Source organism: Homo sapiens, chromosome 8 (genome assembly GCF_000001405.40).
Source record: "Homo sapiens chromosome 8, GRCh38.p14 Primary Assembly".
Classification (NCBI taxonomy): domain Eukaryota; kingdom Metazoa; phylum Chordata; class Mammalia; order Primates; family Hominidae; genus Homo; species Homo sapiens.
The window spans coordinates 20,068,280-20,093,056 of NC_000008.11; the positions used below are offsets into that span (position 1 = coordinate 20,068,280).

General features: G+C 42.6%; 1 long non-coding RNA gene across 1 annotated transcript in view; it reads left to right on the forward strand.

Moving 5' to 3' along the window:
* The first annotated feature begins 10,919 nt into the window (after positions 1-10,919).
* The window catches only part of LOC105379311 (uncharacterized), a 45,659-nt gene continuing 31,801 nt past the window's right edge, over positions 10,920-24,777 (forward strand). Inside the window, exon 1 of the long non-coding RNA NR_188140.1 lies at positions 10,920-11,243. This is a non-coding gene — a long non-coding RNA (uncharacterized LOC105379311). The remainder of the gene's footprint in view (positions 11,244-24,777) is intronic.

Genomic DNA, 24,777 nt, shown 5'->3' on the forward strand with positions numbered 1-24,777 from the left:
TTATGTGTGTTAAGGTGTTCATAGTAGCCTTGAATGATCTTTTGTATTTCAGTGGTGTCATTTGTAATATCTCCCATTGTGACAATGACCATACTGCCAAAAGCATGGCAATCTCCATCAAAATACCACCATCATTCGTCACAGAATTAGAAAAAAAAATTCTAAAATTCATATGGAACCAAAAAAGAGCCCTCATAGCCAAAGCAAGAATAAACAAAAAGAACAAATCTTGAGGCATCACACAACCTGATTTCAAACTACACTATAAGGCCATAGTCACCAGAACAGCATGGTACTGGTATAAAAATAGGCACAAAGACCAGTGGAAGAGAATAGAGAACCCAGAAATAAACCCAAATACTTACAGCCAACCGATCTTCAACAAAGCAAACAAAAACAAAGTGGGGAAAGGACACCCTCTCAACAAATGATGCTAGGATAATTGGCTAGCCACATGTATGAGAATGAAACTGGATCCTCATCTCTCACCTTATACAAAAATCAACTCAAGATGGATTAAGGACTTAAACCTAAGACCTGAAACTATAAAAATTCTAGAAGATAACAATGGAAAACCCCATCTAGACAATGGCTTAGGAAAGGATTTCATGACCAAGAACCCAAAAGCAAATGCAATAAAAACAAACATAAATAGCTGGGACCTAATTGAACTAAAGAGCTTTTACACAGCAAAAGGAACAGTCAGCAAAGTAAACAGACAATGCAGAGTGGGAGAAAATCTTCACAATCTATACATCCAACAAAGGACTGATATCCAGAATCTTCAACGAACTCAAACAAATCAGTAAGAAAAAAAAACAAACCATCCCATCAAAAAGCGGGTTAAGGACATGAATAGACAATTCTCAAAAGAAGATATACAAATGGCCAACAAACATATGAAAAAATGCTCAGCATCACTCATCATCAGAGAAATGCAAATCAAAACCACAGTGCAATACCACCTCACTCCTGCAAGAATGGCCATAATCAAAAAATCAAAAACCAGATATTGGTGTGGATGTGCTGAACAGGGAACACTTCTATACTGCTGGCGGGAATATAAACTAGTACAGCCACTATGGAAAACTGTGTGGAGATTCCTTAAAGAACTAAAAATAGAACTACCATTTGATCCAGCAATCCCACTACTGGGTATCTACCCAGAGGAAAAGAAGTAATTATTTGAAAAAGATACTTCCACACGCATGTTTATAGCAGCACAACTCACAATTGCAAATCGTGGAACCAAGCCAAATGACCATCAATCAACGAGTGGATAAAGAAACTGTGGTATATATATATATACACGATGGAATACTTCACAGCCATAAAAAGGAATGAATTAACAACATTTGCAGCGACCTGGATGAGATCGGAGACTATTATTCTAAGTGAAGTAACTCAGAAATGGAAAACCAAGTATCTTATGTTCTCATTGATGTGTGGGAGCTAAGCTGTGAGGACACAAAGGCATAAGAATGGTGCAACGGACTTTGGAGACTTGCAGGGGTGAGGGATGGAAGACTACAAATATGGTGCAGTGTATACTGCTTGGGTGATGGGTGCACCAAAATCTCACAGATCACCACTAAAGAACTTACTCATGTAACCAAATACCATCTGTCCCCCAATAACTTATGGAAAAATTAAAAAATTAAAAAATTAAAGGTACAGTAAAAATACAGTACAAAAGATAAAAAATGCTACACCTGTATAGTTCACTTACCATGAAAAGAACTTGCAGGACTAGAAGCTGCCCTGAGTGAGTGAATGTGAAGGCCTCGGACATTACTGTCCAACACTGTAGGCTTTGTAAATAGCGTACACTTAGGCTACAGTAAATTTTTAAAAAAATTCTTTCTCCAATATTAAATTAACCTTCGCTTACCGTAACATTTTTACTTCACAAACTTTAAAAACTTTTTAAACTTTTTTATTCTTTTGTAATAACACTTAGCTTAAAACACAAACCCACTGTACAGCTGTACAAAAATATTTTATTTCTTTATATCCTTATTCTATAAGCTTTTCTCTATTTTTAAATTTTTTATTTTAGTTTTTACTTTTTAAAACTTTTTTGTTAAAAACTAAAGCACAAACAGACACATTAGCCTAGGCCTACACAGGGTCAGGATGATCCATATCATTGTCCTCCCCCTCCACTCCTGTTCCACTGGAAGGTCTTCAGGGACAGTAACAATCACAGAGCTGTCATCTCGTAGGATAACAACGTCTTATTCTGGAATACTCTCTAAAGGACCTATGTGAGGCTGTTTTACAATTAGCTTTTTTTTTTAATAAGTAGAAGTACACTCTAAAATGATGCTACAATGTATAGTATGGTAAACACATAAACCAGTAACTTGGTCATTTTATCACTATCAAGTATTATGATGTAATATACATAATTGTATGTGCTATACTTTTACATAACTGGCAGTGAAGTAGGTTTGTTTACACCAGTGTCACCACAAACATGGGAGTAATGCATTGCACTATGACATTTGTTATGACAGCTACAATATCACTAGGAAATAGAAAATTTTCAGCTCCATTATAATCTTATGGGACCACCATCGTATATGTGGTCTGTCATTGACCAAAACGTCATTATGCAGCACATGACCGTACATTGACTGAGACACGGATTCATGGATTCCATATTTGTGAATTTGCCTGCTCCCTAAAATGTATTTCTAACCTCAGAATCAATACACATGCCACTTCTGCAGTGTTTGTGCACATCCATAGAGTAGCAAGACATTTGAAATACTGACATGATTACTCTGCCTTTCTGTTTCAGCTCTCATGATGTAAACGAGTGTCCTTTTCATTGTATCATGGGTTTTGTGCGTGCTTTGTGTTGGTAATTTTGCTATTTAAAATGGCCCGCAAGTGTAGCTGCTGAAGTTTTGTCTAGTGCAGGGGTCTCCAACTCCTGGGCCTGGTACTGTTCTGTGGACTTTTAGGAACTGGGCCCCATAGCAGGAGGTTAGCAGTGTGTGAGCAAAGCTTCATCTGTATTTACAGCTGCTCCCCATTGCTTGCATTACTGCCTGAGTTCTGCCTCCTATCAGATCACTGGTGGTATTAGATTCTCATAGAAGCACAAACCCTACTGTGAACTGTGCGTGTAAGGGGTCTAGGTTGCACACTCCTTACGAGAATCTAATGCCTGATGATCCGTGACTGTCTCCCATCATCCCCAGAAGGGACTGTCTAGTTGCAGGCAAACAAGCTCAGGGCTTCCCCTGATTCTACATTACCATGAGTTGTATAATTATTTCATTATATATTACAATGTAATAATAGAAATAAAGTACACAATAAATGTAATGGGCTTGCATCATCCTGAAACTATCCCCACTCAAGTCCATGAAAAAATAGTCTTCCATGAAACCAGTCCCTGGTGCCAAACACTGCTGGCCTAGTGTTCCTAAGTGCAAGAAGGCTGTGATATGTTATAGAGAAATACATGTGTCAGATAAGCTTTTGCTCAGTTAGGAATGATAGTGCTGTTGGCCTTGAGTTCAGTGTCAATGAATCAACAATGTTAAATAAAGTGTCTTCAAACAGTGATACACGTCAAACAAGGTTATGTATTGACCACTGGAGGAAAATACTGTAACCAGAGGCTTGCAGGTGCCTGTATTTCCATTAGGAGCAATGACTCAGTATTCACTAATTTAGTGTTACAGCGACTTTACAGACCATAACTACCATGAATAAGAAGCAGCAGCTATATATGACTTTAAGAATTATTCAGTGTGATTCTGATGTAAGTTTCCACATGTTCTCCTGAAACAGCCTTAACCAACCCCAGGCCAGATTCACTCAGTGCCCCACTGCCTCATCTCCCTCCTTTACATCCTCCTGCCCCAGAAGCAAGAAAGCGATTGTTGCCCACCTGAGGAAAAAACTGTTTTTATACTCGCAACACCTGTGACACCTAATGCGGGAGGTTTTTTTGTTTTGTTTTGTTTTTTTTCCACACCAATCACCAACACTGTGACTCTCCAGACATCAACTAGGTGTCCAGTAATTCAACTCAATTCCGAAACTAACCACCAGGAGTTAGATCACACCCCACTAGTGAAGGGCTCAGTCCCACACACAAGCCCCCCACTTCAGATGCCAGTAGTAAATCTGGACCTCCAAACTTCTGGCCAACTGGCTACAAATAAGGGGTCCCCACGACCCCATGCTTGGATTTAATATTTTGCTCGACTGCCTCACAGAATCCAGGAAAACAGTCTACTCGTTTATTATAAAAGACACGACTCAGGAACAGCGTATGGAAGAGAGGCTGTATTTGTCCGTTTTTACGCTGCTGATAAAGACACACCCGAGATGGGAAAGAAAAGGAGATTTAATTTGACTTACAGTTCCACATGGCTGGGGAGGCCTCAGAATCATGGCAGGAGGCGAAAGGCACTTCTCACGTGGCGGAGGCAAAAGAAAATGAGAATGAAGCAAAAGCGGAAGCCCCTGATAAAACCATCAGATCTCGTGAGACTTATTCACTATCACGAGAATAGCACGCACGAGAAAGACTGACCCCATGATTCAATTACCTCCCCCTGGGCCCCTCCCACAATTCATGGGAATTCTGGGAGATACAATTTAAGTTGAGATTTTGGTGGGGAAACAGCCAAACCGTATCAGACGCCCAGGACAATGTATGGGGAAGGGGCAGAGAGCTTCCATGCCCTCTCCAGGAGCACCACCCTCTAGGCACCTCCACGTGTTCACCAGTCCAGAAGCTCTCCAAACCCCATTATTTAGGGGTTTTTATGGAGGTTTTATTACATAAACACAATTGATTAAATCATTGGCCATTGGTGATTAACTCAATCCCCAGCCTCTCTCCCCTTCCTTAGGTTTGGGGCGGGTGATGGGGCTGAATTTGATTCCTCTGGCAACCAGTCCCCAACTTGTTAGGAACGACAAAAGAAGCTCCTCCCACTCCCATCACTCAGGGAGCTCCTAGGGGTTCTTAGACGCTCTTGTACCAGGAACCAGGGGCAGAAATCAAATATATAGTTCTTAATTTCTTATAACACCCCTCCCAGAAATTCTATCTTGCGTCACTATTGGGAGGGTCAGTGTGGCCTGCTTTGTGAGCGGTTTTTTTTCTTTTATTGGTTTGGTACGCCGGGTGCGGTGGCTCACGCCTGTAATCCCAGCACTTTGGGAGGCCAAGGCAGGTGGATCACGAGGTCAGGAGTTCGAGACCAGCCTGGCCAATATGGTGAAAACCAGTCTCTACTAAAAATACAAAAATTAGCATGCGCGCCTATAGTCCCAGCTACTCGGGAGGATGAGGCGGAAGAATCACTTGAACCCGGGAGGTGGAGGTTGCAGTGAGCCGAAATCGGGCCACTGCACTCCAGCCTGGGTGACAGAGTGAGATGCCATCTCAAAAAATAAAAATTAATAAATAAGTAAATAAGAAAGCAAGAAAATTTGCTGTTGCATTGTGGGGATATCCTCTGATGGCTGTCCTTGCATGGTGCCATATTGGTACTGCATGTGCTCATATGCGTATATCCTGTATGTATTTCATATGTTAAGAGATAAAGGGTGCCTCTGTTTCTTCCAAAAACTTCCTGGCTATGGATTAACAGAACTACGTGATCAAAGGGAATCCAAGATTGAAGGGTTAGAGGAAGTGAAAGGAAATTTAATTGAGAAAGGACAGGGCATCCTTAGTGAAGAATTGGGATCCAAAGTCAGAAGTAAGCTCTCCTGGTGATGGAGGAAGCAGAAGCAGTCTGTTGCCTGAGCTCTCTGTTATGTAACTTCAAGGATTCTCACACTCACTCGCACACCCCAGAGTCAGGAGGTGGGGCGTGGGAAAGTACATGGTAGAGGTCACCCCTCTGTAACTTGCAGCAGGGGCTGGGGACACAAAGGCCCTTGAGAAAGCAGCTGATTTCCTCCCCAGCACAGGCCGGTCACCACAGGGAAGATTCCAGAAGAGGAAATTTGCTCAGCTCATAACAAAGTTTATTAGCTTAGCAGATCTGTGTGTCAAACGAGAATCCGTTTCTAAAGACTCCATTCATCAAATTGGCTCAAGCTTAGTCATTTGTGAAAAAACTGCCAAAGACCCCACAAAGACAGCATACAGAAAAAACTTGCAGCCCAAGGTTTGGGAGGATTTGAAATATATAAACACAAGAATCAGAGATAAATACCAACTACCTAAGATTATGAGCTGATTTCCTCAAGGGTGGATAGTTAGATATAGAAGGAAACTGTAATTGCTCCATGGGTTTTTCCTGCCCACTGTCCAGACAAAACCAATTCATTGCAACCGTGACACTGCAATAAGGAAGTTTAATTGACACAAGACCAGCCATGCCATGTGGGAGATGAAGTTATTACCCAAATCAATCTCCCTGAGAATTCAGAGGCTAGGGTTTTTTAAGAATAGTTTGGTGGGCGGGGGGCTGAGGGAATGGGTACTGCTTGATTGGATGCAATCACAGCGGTGTGGAAAGTGGTCCTTGTACAGAGTCCCTTCTGGGTAGGAGCCACAGGAGCAGAGTCCTGGGTCCGGGTGGGCCATCTGGTAGTTAGAAATGCAAAAATCTGAAAGGACATCTCAAAAGGCCAATCTTGTTAGGTTCCACAATAGCGATGTTATCTACAGGAGTAATCGGAGAATTTGCAAATCTTGTGACCTCTGGAATAATGGCCGGTAATGGTTCATTACCTTGTTTATAGGTAATAGTTTATTCTGCCTACATCTTAGCAGAATTCAGCCTCCTCTCATCCTCCTAACCTGGTAGTCTTTCATTAGTTTTAGAAAGATGGTTTACTTTTGGGGAAGGGCTGTTATCATTTAAATGATAAACTAAATTTCTCCCAAAGTTAGCTAGACCCAAGCCTAGGAATGGCCAAGGACAGTCTGGAAGTTAAAGGCAAGATGGAGATTGGTTAGATCAGATCTCTTTTACTGTCATAATTTTCACATTTTTAAAATTTTTGCAAAAGTGGTTTCAAAACTGTCCCAAATCTTGTTAGGCATGAGGGACAGGAGGGAACAGGAACAACTGAGATACCTTCTAGGCAGTTAATGCCAGAAGATGTCTCAAGACTGGGTTGGGTCTAGGTCAATTATTTGCGAAAGTGTGGGTGCAAACCATGTTCTATCTAGGGACTGCCAAAACTCAAAACTGGGAAGATGAAATTCTGCTACAGAGAATTCAAATGTGAGGCTAGAAATAAGAGACAAAGTCAAGATGAGGAAAGACAGTACACCACAGCAGTGCCTGCACTTGGCTCAACACCAAGGGGCACAATTCACACTGCAGTCTGTACGAATGGTGCCCAGTAGAGCTGGGCTGTGTGTACCCTGCACCATTGCTTTGTAGCTGTGGATAGTGAGATAAATAAACCAAGAAATGAGAGAGCCCTTGAATCAAAATGATCCAAGATAATTGCTGAGGATAAGGCTTGAGCTTCCTCGTTTTTATCAGCTCTCCATTTTCAAAGCACAAATGGCCTGAAATACAATGAAGATGCAGTAGAAAAAGCAACAGTCTAGAAATTAAGAGACGGGAGGTCAAATCACCCTCTGAGAAGTTGGTCATTTATTCAGTATTCTTGGCGTCTGGTTTATCTCTAAAGTGGAGACAATGAGAAGTGGTCTGCTTCTCTTCCTCTCGGGGTTGAACCAAGTTTGATCAAGGATATAAGCAAACACTGAAAATGAATGCTTTGCAAATGTCAGGGTTACACATGACGCAGTGGTCATGGTTTTAGCAGGGTGCTGAGACCTATCAATGGCCTACAAGACCCTGCAGTATCTGTCTCCTCTTGCTAGCCTCATCCACTCCACTCACACTGGCCCCTTTGCATTCCTCCAGTACCTGTCCCCAAGGGCCTTGTGAGTGGCTCTTCTCTCTGCTTGGCACACTGTCCTGCAGAACATCAGCTTGGCTTGCTACCTTCCCTCCTTTGGGTTTTATTCAAACATCAAGTTCTCAGTGAAGATTTCCCTGACAACACACTATTTAAAATGCTCACCTCCTAGCATTTTCTAAACCCTTCCCTATTTATTTTTTTTTTATCCCAAACACATCACTGTCTAATGCACAATTTAATTTACTTTTTCCTATGTTTATGTTTTGTCCTCCCCCATCAGAATGTAAGCTCCTGGAGGGCAGTGATTATAATGTTTTGGATCCTAAGCCAAAAATAAAGTCTAGAAAATTGGTAGGCACTCAAAAAAATATCAGATGTATGAAAGGGAAAAAGCTGTTCAAAGACACAAGCTCATCTCCTTACCAGGATGCCTTTTGCACTTCGGTTGAAATGGCTCCACCAAATAAAATGTCTGTTTCAGCACTTTGCTATCAATCTTGATTTTTGCTCCAATTCCTTTTGAGACTCCAGGACTGAAGTTTTAATTCCCCTTGCTTGTTGCCCAGCAAACAGCATTGAGAAATGAAAGGTCAATTTGGAGTTGACAATTTGCCAATTTGCCATATTTGCTGACCTACTAGTGAAATGAGCCATATTTCAGGGAAGGCTGTGGGTGAAGTGAGATGGGTTGTAAGAGCCCCACAGGGGAAAGAAAATGTGGAGAGCCCCATGCCAGACAACGGAATGTTTAACAGGCATTCAAAAAATACATGTAGCTTATTGCAAAAGAAAAAACAAGCTCTCTCTTGAGCTTTCTTTGTTGTTGTTTAAACAAAATATATCCTCTGAACTCAGTAACTTGGAGAAATCTGCTATTGCTGCAGAACTGGAAGCATATAGAGTTCTGCCAACAAGAAATCTATTCCCCTTTGGGGGTTATATTCTTATCTTGAGTTATTTTCTCTTGGCCTAGAATGTGCCACTGAATTATTCTCAAATGGCTTGCTTCTGGGTCAGTTCTTTATGCAAGGACACAGTTACCTCACTGTGATCTGGTCAAAGTCAGTCTCTGACCTGCTGGGAATAGAGAGGGAATGGAAAAGAGGCCACTTCTCTGCCATCTGAAAACAGGTGTTTGTAGATTATTTGCTCAAATTGGTTAATATAACGATGTTAGAACTTGAGTATATATATATATATATATATATATATATATATATATATATATTCCCAGGTTTAAGCGATTCTCCTGCCTCAGCCTCCCGAGTAGCTGGGATTACGGGCACGGCTAATTTTTGTATTTTTAGTAAAGATGGGGTTTCACCATGTTGGCTAGGCTGGTCTTGAACTGCTGACCTCAGGTGATCCGCCCACTTCGGCCTCCCAAATTGCTGGGATTATAGGTGTGAGCCACCGCACCCGGCCAGGACTTGAATATTTTCACCATATGAAATTATCTAGAGGATTCAGAATACACTCTGCAGAAGCAATACATCATCATACTAAAGACTAGGCTTTAGAATGAAATAGTCCTGCTTCAAATCTCATTCCTTCTACTAATGAGTTATATAATTTTGAGCAAATTACTTAAGCTGCCTGAGACTCAATATTTTCATCTCCAAAATGGGAATAATAATATATACATCAGTTTTTTCTGGGATGATAAAATGAGATAATGCATTTAAACAGCTCAACAAATTGTTCTTGTTTGTAATGATTATTCCAAAAACCCAGGAGCATAGTTTTGTTAACCAGGATGATTTACCCTTCATTGACAAGAGAACACAGAAGGCAGGTAGTGAAGACAACATAGTCCATCTGGTGAAACTTGGCCAAAGTGATCAGATGATGTTACTCTCCTGTCTAAATCATCCTGCAGCAAACCAACATGTCAGCATCAGAGCTGTTGGTCTGCAGATAGACGAGAGGCCAGTGGGAAGCTGGATCATACACCCTGGGACAAGGAAAATGATTCTTCCTCCCTCCCTTCCCCTTTCTGCCCTCCTTCCTTCCTTCCTGATACATCTTTCTAATTCTGTCATTCATGGCTGTCTTTTCCACACAGTGCCTATTGTGTGTCTACACTGGATGTTCTCAGGACTTGTATGGTCTAGACCCAGTTTGGCTCACTCACTAATTGAGTTGGACAAATCACTTTTACCACAGAGTTGAACGGTTAAGAGCATAAACTCAGAATTAGTCTATCTGGATTCTAAAAGCCTGCTCTACCACTTACTAGCTGTGTGACCTTCAGTGAGTTGCTTAAAACTCTCTGTGCCTCTGTTTATCCATCTGTGAAAAGGAGATTTACAACAGTGTCTATTTCACAAGGTTGGTGTGAGAATTCGATGAGTTACTAATGTGGACCACTTTAAACTGTACCTAGCACAAAAGCCTAATATCTCCTCATTATTCTAATAGATTTCTATTACTATCTGTAAAATAAGGGGATTGTGCCATCTCTGAAGTTCCTACTATGATAGAACTAACACTTTGTGAGTCATCTGGGATCCTCCCTGCAGAGACTGAGTCTCTCGCTACCTGCCTGCTCCCTTTCCCCACCCATTCAACTTCATTCATCTTTCAAGTTTCACAGCTTCCCTCCTTGGCAGAAATTATGGAGCTGTTTCAATGTGCCATCGTTGGTTCAGTTAGGTGACAAAGATGCCATCTGCTAGGAGTGTCCATTTGGGAAATCAGATGTTTAACAGATCACAGCAGTATTATGTTCAGGAAAACAACATCATGTTCCTGCACAGGAAGGAGACTCCAGGAGCCTTGGTTTGGAACAGGGCTGGTACACATGTCTGTACAGTAGTTCCCCCACCCCTTATTAGAGGTTTTCTTTTCTAATATTTCAGTTACCAGTGGCCAGTGGCCAATGGCAGTTCAAAAATATACAGTGGCAAATTACAGAAATGACCAGTTCCTAAGTTTCAAATTATGATGAAACCTCGTGTCATCCTGCTCTGTTCCACCTGGGATGCAAATCATCCCTTTGTCCAGCAGATCCACACCATAGACACTCCCCACCGTGAGTCACTCGGGTGCTGCCTGAGTTATCAGATCAACCATCACAGTATCCACAGCGCTGTGTTCAAGGAACTCTTATTTTACATGGTTATAACCCCCAACCACAAGAGGAGTGATGCTGACAATTCGGATCTGCCTAAGAAAAGCCATAAAGTCCTTCCTTTAAGTGAAAAGTGAAAGTTCTCGACTTAATAAGGAAGGAAAAAAATAACTTCATGCTGAGGTTGCTAAGATCTATGATAAGAAGGAATCTTCTATCTGTGAAATTGTGAAGAAGGAAAAAGAAATTTGTGCTAGTTTTGCTGCTGCAAAAGCTACTGCCACAGTGCACGGTAAGTGCTTGAGATGGAAAAAAAATTACATTTGTGAATGAAAGACAGGAACAGAAATGTGTTCCTATTGATTACAATCAGGTTTGGTACTATCTGTGATTTCAGGCCTCCACTGGAGGTCTTGGAACATATCCCCCGTGGATAAGTGGGGGAGATGCTGTGTTATCACCCCAGAGAATCAGTATGTACTATATATTCCACCAGGCAATGGGAATGTGCAGAGTACAGCCACCCAGCCACCAGCTGAGGCCAAGTGCCCAGTGGCAGCATGTCATGGTTGGAGGTCAGTCTGGAGCCAGGAGACTCCGGCTTATGCTCCAGCTCTGTGTCAGCCTATGAGATCTGGGGATTGCTGAACTTCAGAGGCTCAATTTTCTCGGTTCCTAAATGGGGATAACAAAACCAGGTTCATAAGTCATTTTAAGAATTAAGGGAGCAATCGTGCAGTTTAGAGCTATCACGGAGGAGAAGATATTTTGTAAAATGTATAGGCTTACACTGTAAGAGTCATAATTATTCTCATTATAGCTTCAATACATTGAAGGACTTGAATTCCTGAGTCTTCCTTAAAAGACAATAACCTAATTTGTTTTCTTGTTTGTTTGATTTCAAAATGTTTACTATTTCTTAGCTAAACAATACATTCAAGAAGTTGGAGAAGCAAAAATAACAGTAAAAGATGTCCCTTCCCCATCTTCCAAATTCCCACTGCCTCCTGTTACTAGGTTTTTGTTGTTTTTTGTGAGCTCCCAGATCTTTTGGATAAATATGAAGACAAAGGCATTTGTCCATTTCAAAATACATTATCCCCTCCTTTCCGCCTTTTAACCACAAATGATGTCACACTATACCCATTGTTCCATACTTACTCCCTTGAAATCTTAAAGGAACTTCCACATCAGTACATAGAAAGTTTTCTCATTTCCTTTTCTTTTGTTTCTTTTTGTAACCATTGAATGAGTTCCATTGTATATATATTCCATAATTTAACAGTCCCCTATTGATAGAAATTTAAATTACTTCTTAACTTTGTTGTTACAAGTTATTCCATATGTATGTGAGTGTATTTGTAGTAGAAATTCCTAAAACTATAATTCCCAGGCAGAAAGCGTAGGTATTTACAATTTTAGTATTTATTGACAAATTGGCCTCTGACAGGGTTGTGCTAATTTACCCTCCCAACAGAAATGTCTGAAAGTACCAATTTCCTCATCACAGCCTTGCCAACTATGAGTGTTATCAAATCCTGAAGATTTTACCAATATGAGAGGTGAAAATGCTATCTCAGTATAGTTTTAAGTTGTGCATGTTTCCATATGTGTGTTTAACAAGTTTATTCCTAAATGGACAATGTGTAGAAATTATTTATTATTTCCTTTTTTCTAAATTGCCTCTTATTTTTCCATTAGGTTGTTTTTTCTTTTTGATTTTTAGAGATTTTTTGTGTATTCAGGGGATTTACCTTGGGTCTGTGACATGGTTTGTAAAATATTTGTTCTCGGTTTGTCACTTATCAACTAGCTTTGGCTATGACATGTACGTGTGTGTGTTTTATCATGAACAACTCTTTAAATTTGTGTGTTGGGCCGGGCACGGTGGCTCACGCCTGTAATCCCAGCACTTTGGGAGGCCGAGGCGGGTGAATCATGAGGTCAGGAGATCGAGACCATCCTAGCTAACACGGTGAAATCCCGCCTCTAGTAAAAACACAGAAAAAAAAGTAGCCGGGCGTGGTGGAGGGTGCCTGTAGTCCCAGCTACTCGGAAGGCTGAGGCAGGAGAATGGCATGAACCCGGGAGGAGGAGCTTGCAGTGAGCAGAAATTGTGCCACTGCACTCCAGCCTGGGCGACAGAGCGAGACTCCATCTCAAATAAATAAATAAATAAATAAACAAACAAACAAACAAACAAATAAATTTGTGTGTTGCCAAATTTATCAGTCTTTTAGGTCTTACTGATTATGAGTCATACTGAGAAAGGCTTTTCTACTACAAAGACATAAAAAATAATTCTTCCGTATTTTCCTCTAGTCCTTTAATTAATCTTTGAAAAAAAATCTTAATATTGGATTTATGTGGAGTTAATCCTAGTGTGTGGTTGAGGCATTTACCCCTAAATGATTCCCACAATCATCACTTATTGAGTAGTACTTTCCCCCACTGATGTTGAGATGCTATTTTAATAATCATATACTACATTCCCATGTTACTGATTCTGTTTCAGATTTTTAAAGACCAGATCTCCCAAAGAGTGAATCTGCCAGAGAATAAAATCTCATCGGCAGGAGAACAAGAACAGCATACCTGGTCTGGATCACTATTGTTAATATGTTCCTAGTATTTGCTTTAATGTCTTTTTTAGCACTCTGAAGGAACTGTGATATAGAAAGTGGCAGTCTCTGGGCAGGCACTATTCTCTTTTCTAGACAGTAAATTTACTATGAAATCACATAAAAATAACAGTAAAGCCTCCCAATGACTGGACTGAGGTTCTTTGTGCCTGTCTGTAGAAGTCATAAAAAAGAGTCCTGGCCGGGCGCGGTGGCTCACACCTGTAATCCCAGTACTTTGAGAGGCCGAGACGGGTGGATCACGAGGTCAGGAGTTCAAGACCAGCCTGACCAAGATGCTGAAACCCCATCTTTACTAAAAATACAAAAATTAGCCAAACATGGTGGCATGTGCCTATAATCCCAGCTACTAGGGAGGCTGAGGCAGGAGAATCACTTGAACCCGGACGGCAGAGGTTGTAGTGAGCCAAGATCGTGCCACTGCACTTCAGCCTGGGTGACAGAGCAAGACTTCATCTCAAAAAAAAAAAAAAAAAAAAAGTCGTGGCCCGCATGTGGTGCCAGACAAGCGTCACCGCCAATGCTCATAGTGTCCCTGGGAGACAGAGCAAGACTTTTTTTTTTCCTCGCTCTGTCACACAGGCTGGAGTACAGTGGTGTGATCTTGGCTCACTGCAACCTCTGCCTCCCGGGCTCAAGCGATTCTTGTGCCTCAGCCTCCTGAGTAGCTGGGACTACATCCCTGGCTAATTTTTTTTTAATTTTTGGTAGAGATGGGGGTTTGCTTTATCGGCCAGGCTGGTCTTGAACTCCTGGCCTCAAGTGATTAACCCATCTCAGCCTCCTAAAGTGCTGAGATTACAGGTGTCGACCTCCGCACCTGGCCTAGATCAAGACTCTTTAATGTCATACTTCTTTACTTATACCTTTCTTTCTAGTCACCCTTCCGAAAGTTCAAATCACTTTAATATAATTATAATAACTAAATGTCTTAAGTGCTTTTTATGGACCTAGACCCTACTAAGTGCCTTATTTACATTATCTCACTTGATCCCTACAGTACCTCCATGAAGGAGAATTTATACTAGGGTTCACTAAATGCAGGCAACAGAACCAATCTATCCAAGTCAATTACAAAAGGAATTTTTTAGAAAGATATAGTAGAGTTCACAGAATCCAAGGAGAAGCCAAAGAAACAGGGTTGGAAAGCACAGGAAAGGGCATCCAGGGTCTGGGTAGCAGGAACTAGTTAATATACTGTCTTCTCCAAATGTCTCCTACGTGGTGAATTAACTCCAGCAATTTTCCCATGATTTTTACATCATTCTGCACCTGATTTCAAGTCCAGGAACACAGTGGTTTGATGTGGTAGATGACAAATGGTCACAGTTTCTTTGTAGCTCCTCCCATCAAAATTGGGTCTATTTCCCCACCCTTTGAAACAGGGCTATGACTTGCTTTAACCAATAGAATGTGGGGAGGTGACATAGTGTGAGTACCAGGGCAAGGCTTCAAGAGACCTTGCAGCTTCCATCTTTATCCTTTTGAAATCTGAAAGCGCTAAACTCTGAAAAGGTTCTGGGTAGCCTCTGAGTATAAGAAATCTCACAGAGGGAGAAGTTCAACATTGCACAAACCAGGGAAAGGCCTCTAGAGATCTTGCAACTTCCACTTTTACCCTTTTGAAACCTGAGACCACCAAGCTGCAAAGAGGCCTGGGATAGGCTCCCTGTCTATAAGAAATCCCACAGAGGGAAAGAGAGGTCCAACCATCCCAGCTGAGGCCCAGACACTTGAGTCACACTGTCCACAAATTTCAAACTAAAGCACAAATTTTATCCAAGACAGATTAAGGCTTAGGGCAAGACAGAGACCTTGTTAAAAGCATCCAGTGCTGGAATGACTGCTTTAAGTTTAGCCAATCATGTTGATCCTTGGGTCCTAACCTTTACCAGGGATGTCCAGGCTAAGGGATGGAAAGCAGTCATGTTCCACCGAGCTCCACCATCTCTGATGGCTGGCAGTGTCATTTGTACAGTCTATAAACTCCCATTGCCGTTCGATCAGTTTACCGCAGGGGTCCCCTGGGGCAGTGGTGACTTCCTCCAGCACTATCTCCTTAGACCCAGACTCCTCTCTAAAGGCACCACATCCCAGTCCACATGCCTCTGCTGCCAGAGTCCAGCCAAGAATAGGTACCTTAGAACGACAAGGTACATCCACGTGACTCCTCTCTTATCACCACTGCTTGGAATCTTTGCCAGCTTTCCTGCTGACTGGCTGGGCCTCCTGATGCGCTTTTCTTAAACCTGCCTGACCTTGATATCTATCAGGACGGTGCCTAGGGCTCTCTGGCGGTATGCTGGCTGGCACGGCCTCCGCAGTCACGTTTGTTTCCCCAGCTGCTCTCTGTCCCCAGCTCCCCCAACTCCTCCTGCTACCAGGTTCTTTCACTTCTCTCACCTGAGCCATGTCATGGTCCCTGAGCAGAGCCAAACTTCTCCTTGGTCCTGCACCCAGCCTGTCTCACATGTTCACAGGGAGATGGCCAAGGACTGGAAGTCCCTCATCTCTGTGTGTTTCAGACAGACCTGCAGGCAGGCAATACCCCCTAGACATCAGGTTTACCAAGAAGCCTCTTTTCACAGCAGGGACTGGTGTGTGGGGGGATGGGTGGGTCAGGGCAGGAATAGACAATGACTTTCACTTTCTCAGTCCCTCTTCACTTTTCAAACCTCTCCTCTGGAATGCCACCATGCCACCAGCAAAGGCCTCTAATGACTTCCATGTACCCAAGTCTTATCCAACTAATGTTCAGTCCTAGTTTTAAAAAATCTGCTCTGTTAGTTTTCCGGTTGACGCTTGGCTTGTGGAAACATCTCTCCAATCTCTGCCTCTCTTCACACGGACTTTGTAAAGCTCTCTGTGTCCTCACCTTTTCTTATGGGAAGAGCAGTCACTGGATTTAGGCCCACCCTAATCCAATATGACCTCACCTCAATCTTTAACTAATTACTTCTACAAAGGCCCTATTTCCAAATAACGTCACATCCTGAGGTTCTGGGTAGACATGAATTTTTGGGAGGTGTTAATCAACCCACTATACCTTGTAAGCAACATTTAACAAAATTTCCCCATTCCGTTTCTTCATCTTTCTGACCACTCCAATATTTTTTCAACCCACAAGAAAAGTTTGCGAAAAAAATTCAAATATATAGTTTCTCTTGAAAAATCTCTAAGCCTATAATTCCCCATGGTTGCCTCCTTTAGATGGGGGCTACCCTGTCATTTTCAGTACCTGCCTGACCCTGGTAGCATTTGAGCTTGTGACCCCATTATATTTATATTACAGAAGGAAGGCTTTCTATAATCAGTATAAAATTTACTGAAATACAAGTGACAGCATAATAAGATTTCTACCATGCTGGGCAAATCTGTTTATTCATTTCATTCGTCTATCAGATAACACCTATAAAATGAGCATCTACTATAGGTTAGGTACTATTCTTGGCACTGGGAATACAATTTTGAGCAATTATAGATACACTTGCCCTTATGGAAGAAAGATATGAACCACATAAATACATAAAAATAATAATTATGACAAATCTTATAAGTGAGAGGTCCTTGATGCTATGAAAAGATGGAATGGGAGAGATTTTCATTAATCTTAAAGGCTAGGGAAGGCCGAGATATGAATGACGAGAGATTTAACTAGACAAGGAGAAGCAGTATGTGCAAAGGTCCTGTGACTGTTGGGACTATTATATGGAACAAGACTAAAAGAAGTACAGTATAGCTGCAGAGGCAGGAGAATGCCATAGAAACCAAGGGGGCAGGGGAGGCAGCAGCCCCATACAGAGCCCTCCTCACCATACTGAGTTTTGTCTTTATCCTAAGAGCAGTGGGGACTTGTTAATGTGTGTTTAAAAAGAGAATATGTTAATATTTGTCTTATTAAGGAAATTATCTTGGATGCAATTTAGAAAACACTTCAAGGAGCACAAGAGTAGATATGGGTAGACCAGTTAGGAGGCTTCCGTCAAAATCTAAGTAAGAAATGATGGTATTTTGGAATAGAGTAGTCAGGTAGAGAAGTGTGGATAGGCCTGAGAGAAACATAGGGTTCCATAAAATCCACAGAATTTGGTGATGGATCAGAAATGGGGTGCAAGGGAGAGGGAGGAGTCAAGGGCAACTCCTCAGTCTAGGTATTGTTTAATAGATGCTGTTCACTGCCACAGGGGACACTGGGAGGGTCTGGGATGGGGCGGGGCAGCACACACTTCCGTTAGGACATGTTTAACTCAATGTGTTGTTGAGACACTCAACAGGAGATATTGAAGTGGTGGGTGGTGATTTGGGTCTAGAGCTCAGAGGAGGAGTTTTGGTTAAATAAGGTAACATGTGCAAAACACTTCTGTCAGCATCTGGACATGAGCGTTAGCCAATGCTATGATTTTCCAGCAATATCTTTAATGTGGTCATGATTAAAACTACATACATGATTAAATGCCTTAACTCAGTTTATATTGCTAAAGCAGTGCCTAGCCCACCGTAAGAGGTTATAAAGGTTGGGGAGGAAATTAAAGGGATTATATCTCTGAAGACACTTTTTATTTCTATGTATCAGTGTAAGAAATTATGTCTTCCAAATTTGACCCAGCTTTGGGAACTTCATAGACAGGGGGCAGTATCTCCACCTGTTATTTAGAAAACTTCACATTGTTTTCGAAATAGAAATTTAATATTTCCAGAAATTGTCCTTTATACTGTTATCAGAAAGAGCACTGAATAAAGAGACAAGAAACCCAGTTCTAATTCTTAGCCCCACCTTTGCCACTTTGGTTCCCTGGATGAATTACGTGTTTAAGTTCCATATTTGATTGATTTTTAAACATCCCAGGAAGCAACAGCTTCTTGGTACTCAGACCAAGGAACCCACACAAAAGCCACAGAGAAGCCACGCCTCAAAAAACAGACTGGCCCGGCAGGCTCCCTTCCTTTGCCCCCAGCATGGAGATAGCCATCTGGAGATGGCAGGATCATCTGATTAACAGTCATCTTGCATTTGCTTGTTATTCTCTCCGTGTTTCCTCTTAAGTCAAAGGTCAGTGATTTCCCCACTTCCTGTCCCTGCAACAGACAGAAGAAGATGAGGAATGCAGATATACCAGGGGTCAGGACACTGGCGCCTGGAGACAAATCAGTCTAGGGAGCCAGGACGTGGGTATCCTGAGGCACTTCTTTGTGCTTCCAAACCCTTGGGACCCTTGAGTCTTGGGAAACAAATGGGGCCGCTGATGTGAATGGCTGGGAGTAGATCTAACATAATCTCACTTCCCACTGGACGGCCCAGTCCAAGAGGAAGCCAGCACTTAGGGGGATACCAAGGGACATTTACTGCCACAGAGGCTTACTGTATTCCAGGACACAGCTGTGGGTCACAGCACTTAGAGGAGAAGAAAGGTCTGTTGGGGAGGTGATGAGTTCAAATCCCAGCTCTGCTACCAACTCACTCCATGGCCTTAGATGAGCAGCTTTCTAAATTTAAGCTTCCTTGTCTTTAAAATCTTAATGACTCCCCTACCCTACCTCACAGGATTGTCATAAAGATCATGAGATTACAGGAATGAGAGCAAGCACAGGTCCCAACACACAGTAAGGAGTAAATTCTCAATACGTGTTCTAGAAGATCTCCAAAGCAGACATAAATTCTTGCTTCATAGCACTCAACAAGAAACTTCAATGTGTGAGGGGCCCATCAGAGTAAACGGAAGACATATTGTCTTCCTACTCCTCTCACAGAATTCTGCTGGGATCAATTATGCAAAAGAAATAAAAGAGATAGAGAGAGACACAGCCTTTGGACCAGTAAATCCCAAACTCTGGAGACTCCAAAAGGAGCTGAGCTCAGTGGAACATTTCCTCACGTGTTCTGCCTATGTTTTCAGCCATGCAGAGCCCTGGAAATGGGTTCTGGATCATGGGTCTTCTGGAATGTATTTGCAGGAAACTTTTTGCCATCAATCTTGAGAATATGCCAAATCACAGAATCTACCCCAGGTCCAGGAGATGCAGGAAAAGAGATCTGATGGGTAAATGCACTGGCTTTGTCAACTACATTAGTTCTTTGAAGACAAACAATTCTTACAGGGCCAGGCATGGTGGTTCACGCCTGTAATCCCAGCACTTTGGGAGGCCGAGGCAGGCGGATCACGAGGTCAGGAGTTTGAGATGAGCCTGGCCAACATAGTGAAACTGTGTCTCTACTAAAGACACAAAAAATTAGCCAGGCATGGTGGCACCCGCCTGTAGTCCCAGCTACTCGGGAGGCTGAGGCAGGAGAATCGCTTGAACCTGGGAGGCGGAGGTTGCAGTGAGCTGAGATCACGCCACTGCACTCCAGCCTGGGCAACAGGGCTCTCCTGTTTTTAGAGCCTCCATCTCAAAAAAAAAAAAAATTCTTACACTGATACACAGAAAGGAAAAGCATTTTCAGAGACATCTCTTTTACTTTCTGCTTAGCCTTTATTAATTAAGCTCTTCCTATGCCATAGGCACTGCTTTAAGTACTTTAAATGTGTGACCGTATTCAGCATGTAAATTTAACCTTGTTGGGGATGACCACATAGAGAGGATCTTTCCATAACCCACCCTCTCCCATTGTCAGAGGAAACGGGTAGGATATTCCCTCTTGTCTCACATCCTTTGTTGGTTGTTCCACAGTGAGCACCCACCACGTCCCCGCACTTCCCTTGTTGACTGCTTAGCTGTTAGAATAGCTTAGGGAAGATTGATAAAGCTCCAGTGCTTCAGTCAAGACCCCTGGCCCTTCCCCAACCCTCATAGCCTCACTGCCACAATCTCCCTGAAGACCACCAGGGTTAGTCTTTTTGTGCCCAGTGGGGGTCAGCCTGCAAATCCCCAGACGGACTGTCTTGGCCAGACCCCCATGCCCAGAGGGCCTGCACACCCTGACAGTCTGGCCCAAGGCCCTCTGCAACTTGCTGTCATTCATCAGGAAAGTACCACTTAATCTAAAACTCTTCCTGAATTTTGCCTTCACTGTCTTGATTGAACTCACGCCTTTTATCTTTGGCTGCCTATTATAGCTGCCTGTAAAGCACTTTAAAAATTAAAAAAAAATTAAAAAAAATCCATCTTCCTCCCCTCCCCAATAATTGAGTAAGGATTTGGGGGCAGGGGTGGGGGCGGGGGCTGGGTGGAGTTTAAGCATGGTTATTTTTAAAACATTTCAAACAAGAAAGGGGTTGAGTCAAAGCTCTCAGGAGATGTGCAGGATCTCCAGAAGAGCCGGAACTCTGGCTAGGCCAGCCAGGCAGCAGAGGGGACCCTCTGTCTTGGGGCAGCCCTGGAAACAGGGGAAGGGGGATGTCTCCACTGCCACCTTCAGCAAAAATTGGAGTCTACCCACCACACACTCCCTCAGGGTACTTGCTATCAGTAAGAGTCTTTTTTTTTTTTTTTTTTTTTTTTAATAGAGACAAAGTCTCCCTACATTATCCAGGCTGGTCTCAAACTCCTGGGCTGAAGTTATCCTCCTGCCTCGGCCTCCCAAAGTGCTGGGATTACAAGCATAAGCCAGCACACCCAGGCTGGCTCACATGATTGTGGAAGCTGACAAATCCAAAATCTTCAGCATAGGCTGCCAAGCTGGAGACCTGGGAAAAAGATAATATTGCAGCTTCAGTCCAAAGGCAGTCAGCTGGCAGGATTTTTCTCTTTCTTGGAGGAGATCAGTCTTTCATTCTTAAGGCCTTCAACTAATTAGATGAAGCCCACTCAACCACATTATAGAGGTTCATTTGCTCTACTCAAAATCTACCAATTTTTTTTTTTTTTGAGACAGGGTCTTGCTCTTTCACCCATGCTCGTGTGCAGTGGCACAATTTTGGCTCACTGTAACCTCCGCCTCCTGGGTTCAAGAGATTCTTGTGCCTCAGCCTCCAGGGTAACTGAGACTACAGGTGCCCGCCACCTTGCCCAGCTAATTTTTGTATTTTAGTAGAGATAGAGTTTTACCATGTTGTCCAGGGTGGTCTCAAACTCCTGAACTCAGGCAATTTGTCCACCTTGGCCTCCCAAAGTGCTAGAATTATAAGCATGAGCCACCGCGCCCGGCCTAAAATTGCCTTTTTAATTGATGTACAATTGTATGAGTTTTAATACATGAATGCAGAACTGTTCCCTCACCCCAAATTACCCTCTCAAGCTACCTCTTCATAGTGAAATACTCAATTCCCCTGCAACCCTGGGCAGCCATTGGTCTGTTCTCCATCACTGTAATTTTGTCTATTGGCAATGGGATGTAAATAGAATCATGAAGCATGCGGCATTCTGAGACTGGATTCTTGCATTCAGCGTAATGTACTTGAGATCAATCCAAGCTGCTGTGTGGATCAAGGGTTTGTTCCTTTCTACTGCCAAGTATTGTTCTTTTGTGTGGATGCACCAGTTTATTTATCCATTCATCTGTTGAAGGACTTTGGAGAATCTCCCATGATACCACTAAGCCAGCAGTGCTGATTGTGGACGAACATTTGGGTTACTTCTGGTCTTTAGTTATTTATAATAGAACTCTCAGGTCCATGCTGTAGGGTGAAATTGTTTGGCCAAGTGGTAAGAAACTACCAAACTGCCAAACTGTTTCCCAAAGTGGCTGCACTGTTTTGCAATCCCAGTAACCATGTGTGGCCATTCTAGTCGTTCCAAATATTTATCAGAACTTGGTATTGTCGGTATTTTTTCATTTTATCCATACTCACAGGTGTGTCTTATTGTGGTTTAATTTGCATTTCTCATTGGTATTTTTTAATGTCACCGTGTGATTTTAATATGTAGCTGGAGTTGCAAACCACTGAAAAAACTAGATCTTGTCTGCCCAACAAGGCCAGCTTTTGCCATCAAATCTTCTACACATCTGTGCTATGTCTCTGCCTGTTACAGTGGAGTTACCTGTCCATGTTCCCATAAACGCCTTCATCTGCACTCCAGATACACACTGGATTTTTTTTTTTTTTTTTTCAGAGGGAGCCTTGCTCTGTCACCCAGGCTGGAGTGCAGTGGTGTGATCTCAGCTCACTGCAACCTCCACCTCCTGGGTTCAAGCGATTCTCCTGCCTCAGCCTCTCAAGTAGCTGGAATTACAGGTGCATGCCACCACTACCCAGCTAATTTTTGTATTTTTAGTAAAGACGGAGTTTTGCCACGTTGGCCAGACTGGTCTTGAACTCCTCAGCTCAGGTGATCCGCCTGCCTCAGCCTCCCAAAGTGCTGGGATTACAGGCGTGAGCCATCATGCCTGGCCTACATGCTGGATTTTCTTCCCTCTCCCTTGCCCAAGGGCATTACTTGTGTAATTATTCCTTGTATTTCTTACCATCATCATTTCTCCTACTACTAGATCATTATTATCAACAATATACAAAGATTCTGTAATTTAAAATAACTTTTTCCCACATCCATTCCTAGCCACCACCCCACTTCTCTGTTCCCCCTTACAGCAACAATCAAAGGGAGAGTAGTCTGTAAGTAGTGTCTCCAGGTCCTTCCCTCAATCCATCTTCCCTGCCTTTTCTTTTACATCTGCTCCAGTCAACCTTTCATCTACACCAGTCCATGGACAATGCTCTTGTCAAATTCCACAACTGCCTCACGTGCCAGATCCAAAGTTCAGACACTCTGAGATCTTTGCTTGTTCAACTACCCGCAGCAGAAGTGATCACTCCCTCTCTTCCTTAACAGTCTTTTGGCCTGGCTATTGTTGGGGGTAGCTTTTGACCCCTTAGATCTGTACCTACTCTGTCTCAGCATCCTGTGCTGGTTCCTCATCATCCTTCCTCTGGCCCTGGGCTCAGTCCTCAGATAACTTCTCTTTACACTCACTACCCAGCTGATCTTATTCTATCCCATAGCCTCAAATACAGATCGGTGACTTTCAACTTTATCTCTCCAGTCAAGACCTCCGCACTGAACTCTAGACTCACATAGCAAGCTATCCACTAGGCATCTGCACTTGTATGTCTAATAGACATCTCAGACTTAGCATGGGCATCACTGAATTCTTGACTAATCTCCCAAGTGTCTGTTTCCCATCTGATCTTCCCCATCTCAGAAAGCAGTAACTCCATTCTTCCGTTTAATCAGGCTAAAAACCTAGAAATTGTGCTGCTTTTTCTCTTTCTCTCATATCCCACATCCATCCAACCAGGAAATCTTGTTGACTCTCTCTTTGAATATATCCAGAAGGTGAGTAATTCTATTTCTACTGCTACATCCTAAGAGAAGCCACCATCAGCTATCACTAAATTATTGCAATATCCAAATGGTCTCCTTGCTTCCACCTCTCTCTTTTATTCTTCACACACCTCGAGAGTAAATATTAAAAACATTTAAACTTAAAAAAAAAAAACAAAAACCATGAGCCAGAAGCTATCACTGAATATGTTCCAGGGGCTCCCCATCTCAGAGTGAATAAAATTCACAGCCCTTTGCACGAGACTTCAAGGCTTTCCACAATCTTACCGCAACTGTCTTGCTGACCTAATTTCTCCACCATGCACCTTCTCCTGCTCATCCTATTCACTCATAAGCAATTCCTACAACTGGAAGCTGACAAAAGATACGATTGCGGTTGTGTTGTTAGAGGGCGTGATTTGGGGGAGCAAGGAGGTACTTACATCACTTGATCACTGGCCATCCCCCAGCAAGCTCCCTCTTGTTCTCCTCTCTGACCAAATGTTTTTTTCCCTGGATATCTGCTCTACTCCATCCTCGGGGATTCAGGCTTCTGCTTCTTCTATTGATTAAGAGTATTGATTAGGGTCTAACAGTGAAGATGACAACTATGTCAAAGGGGCTTCCTTGAGTGCATTTTCTAGAATCACATCTCTCTCTTGTCACTCTCACCCAGCTGATTCATTCTTCAAGACACCTATCGCCCCCAGAATTATCTCATTTACTTATCATGGATCGCCCCTCCACCTTCCATGTGAATGGAAGCCCCATAAGACAGTGATCATTCTAGGTTTTGTTCACTGATGGAGCCCATGTGCCCAGCACAGTGCTGAGTTAGCACTTTGTAGGAGTTCAATATTAGTTGAATGAATAAATGAATGCATCTTCCCTTACCTAGCCATTTTAGGATAGTTTTTCTTTCTAACGCTTCCCTGAATTTCATCTGAGCTGAGTTTCATCCAGATGATAACTCCTAGAGGGCCC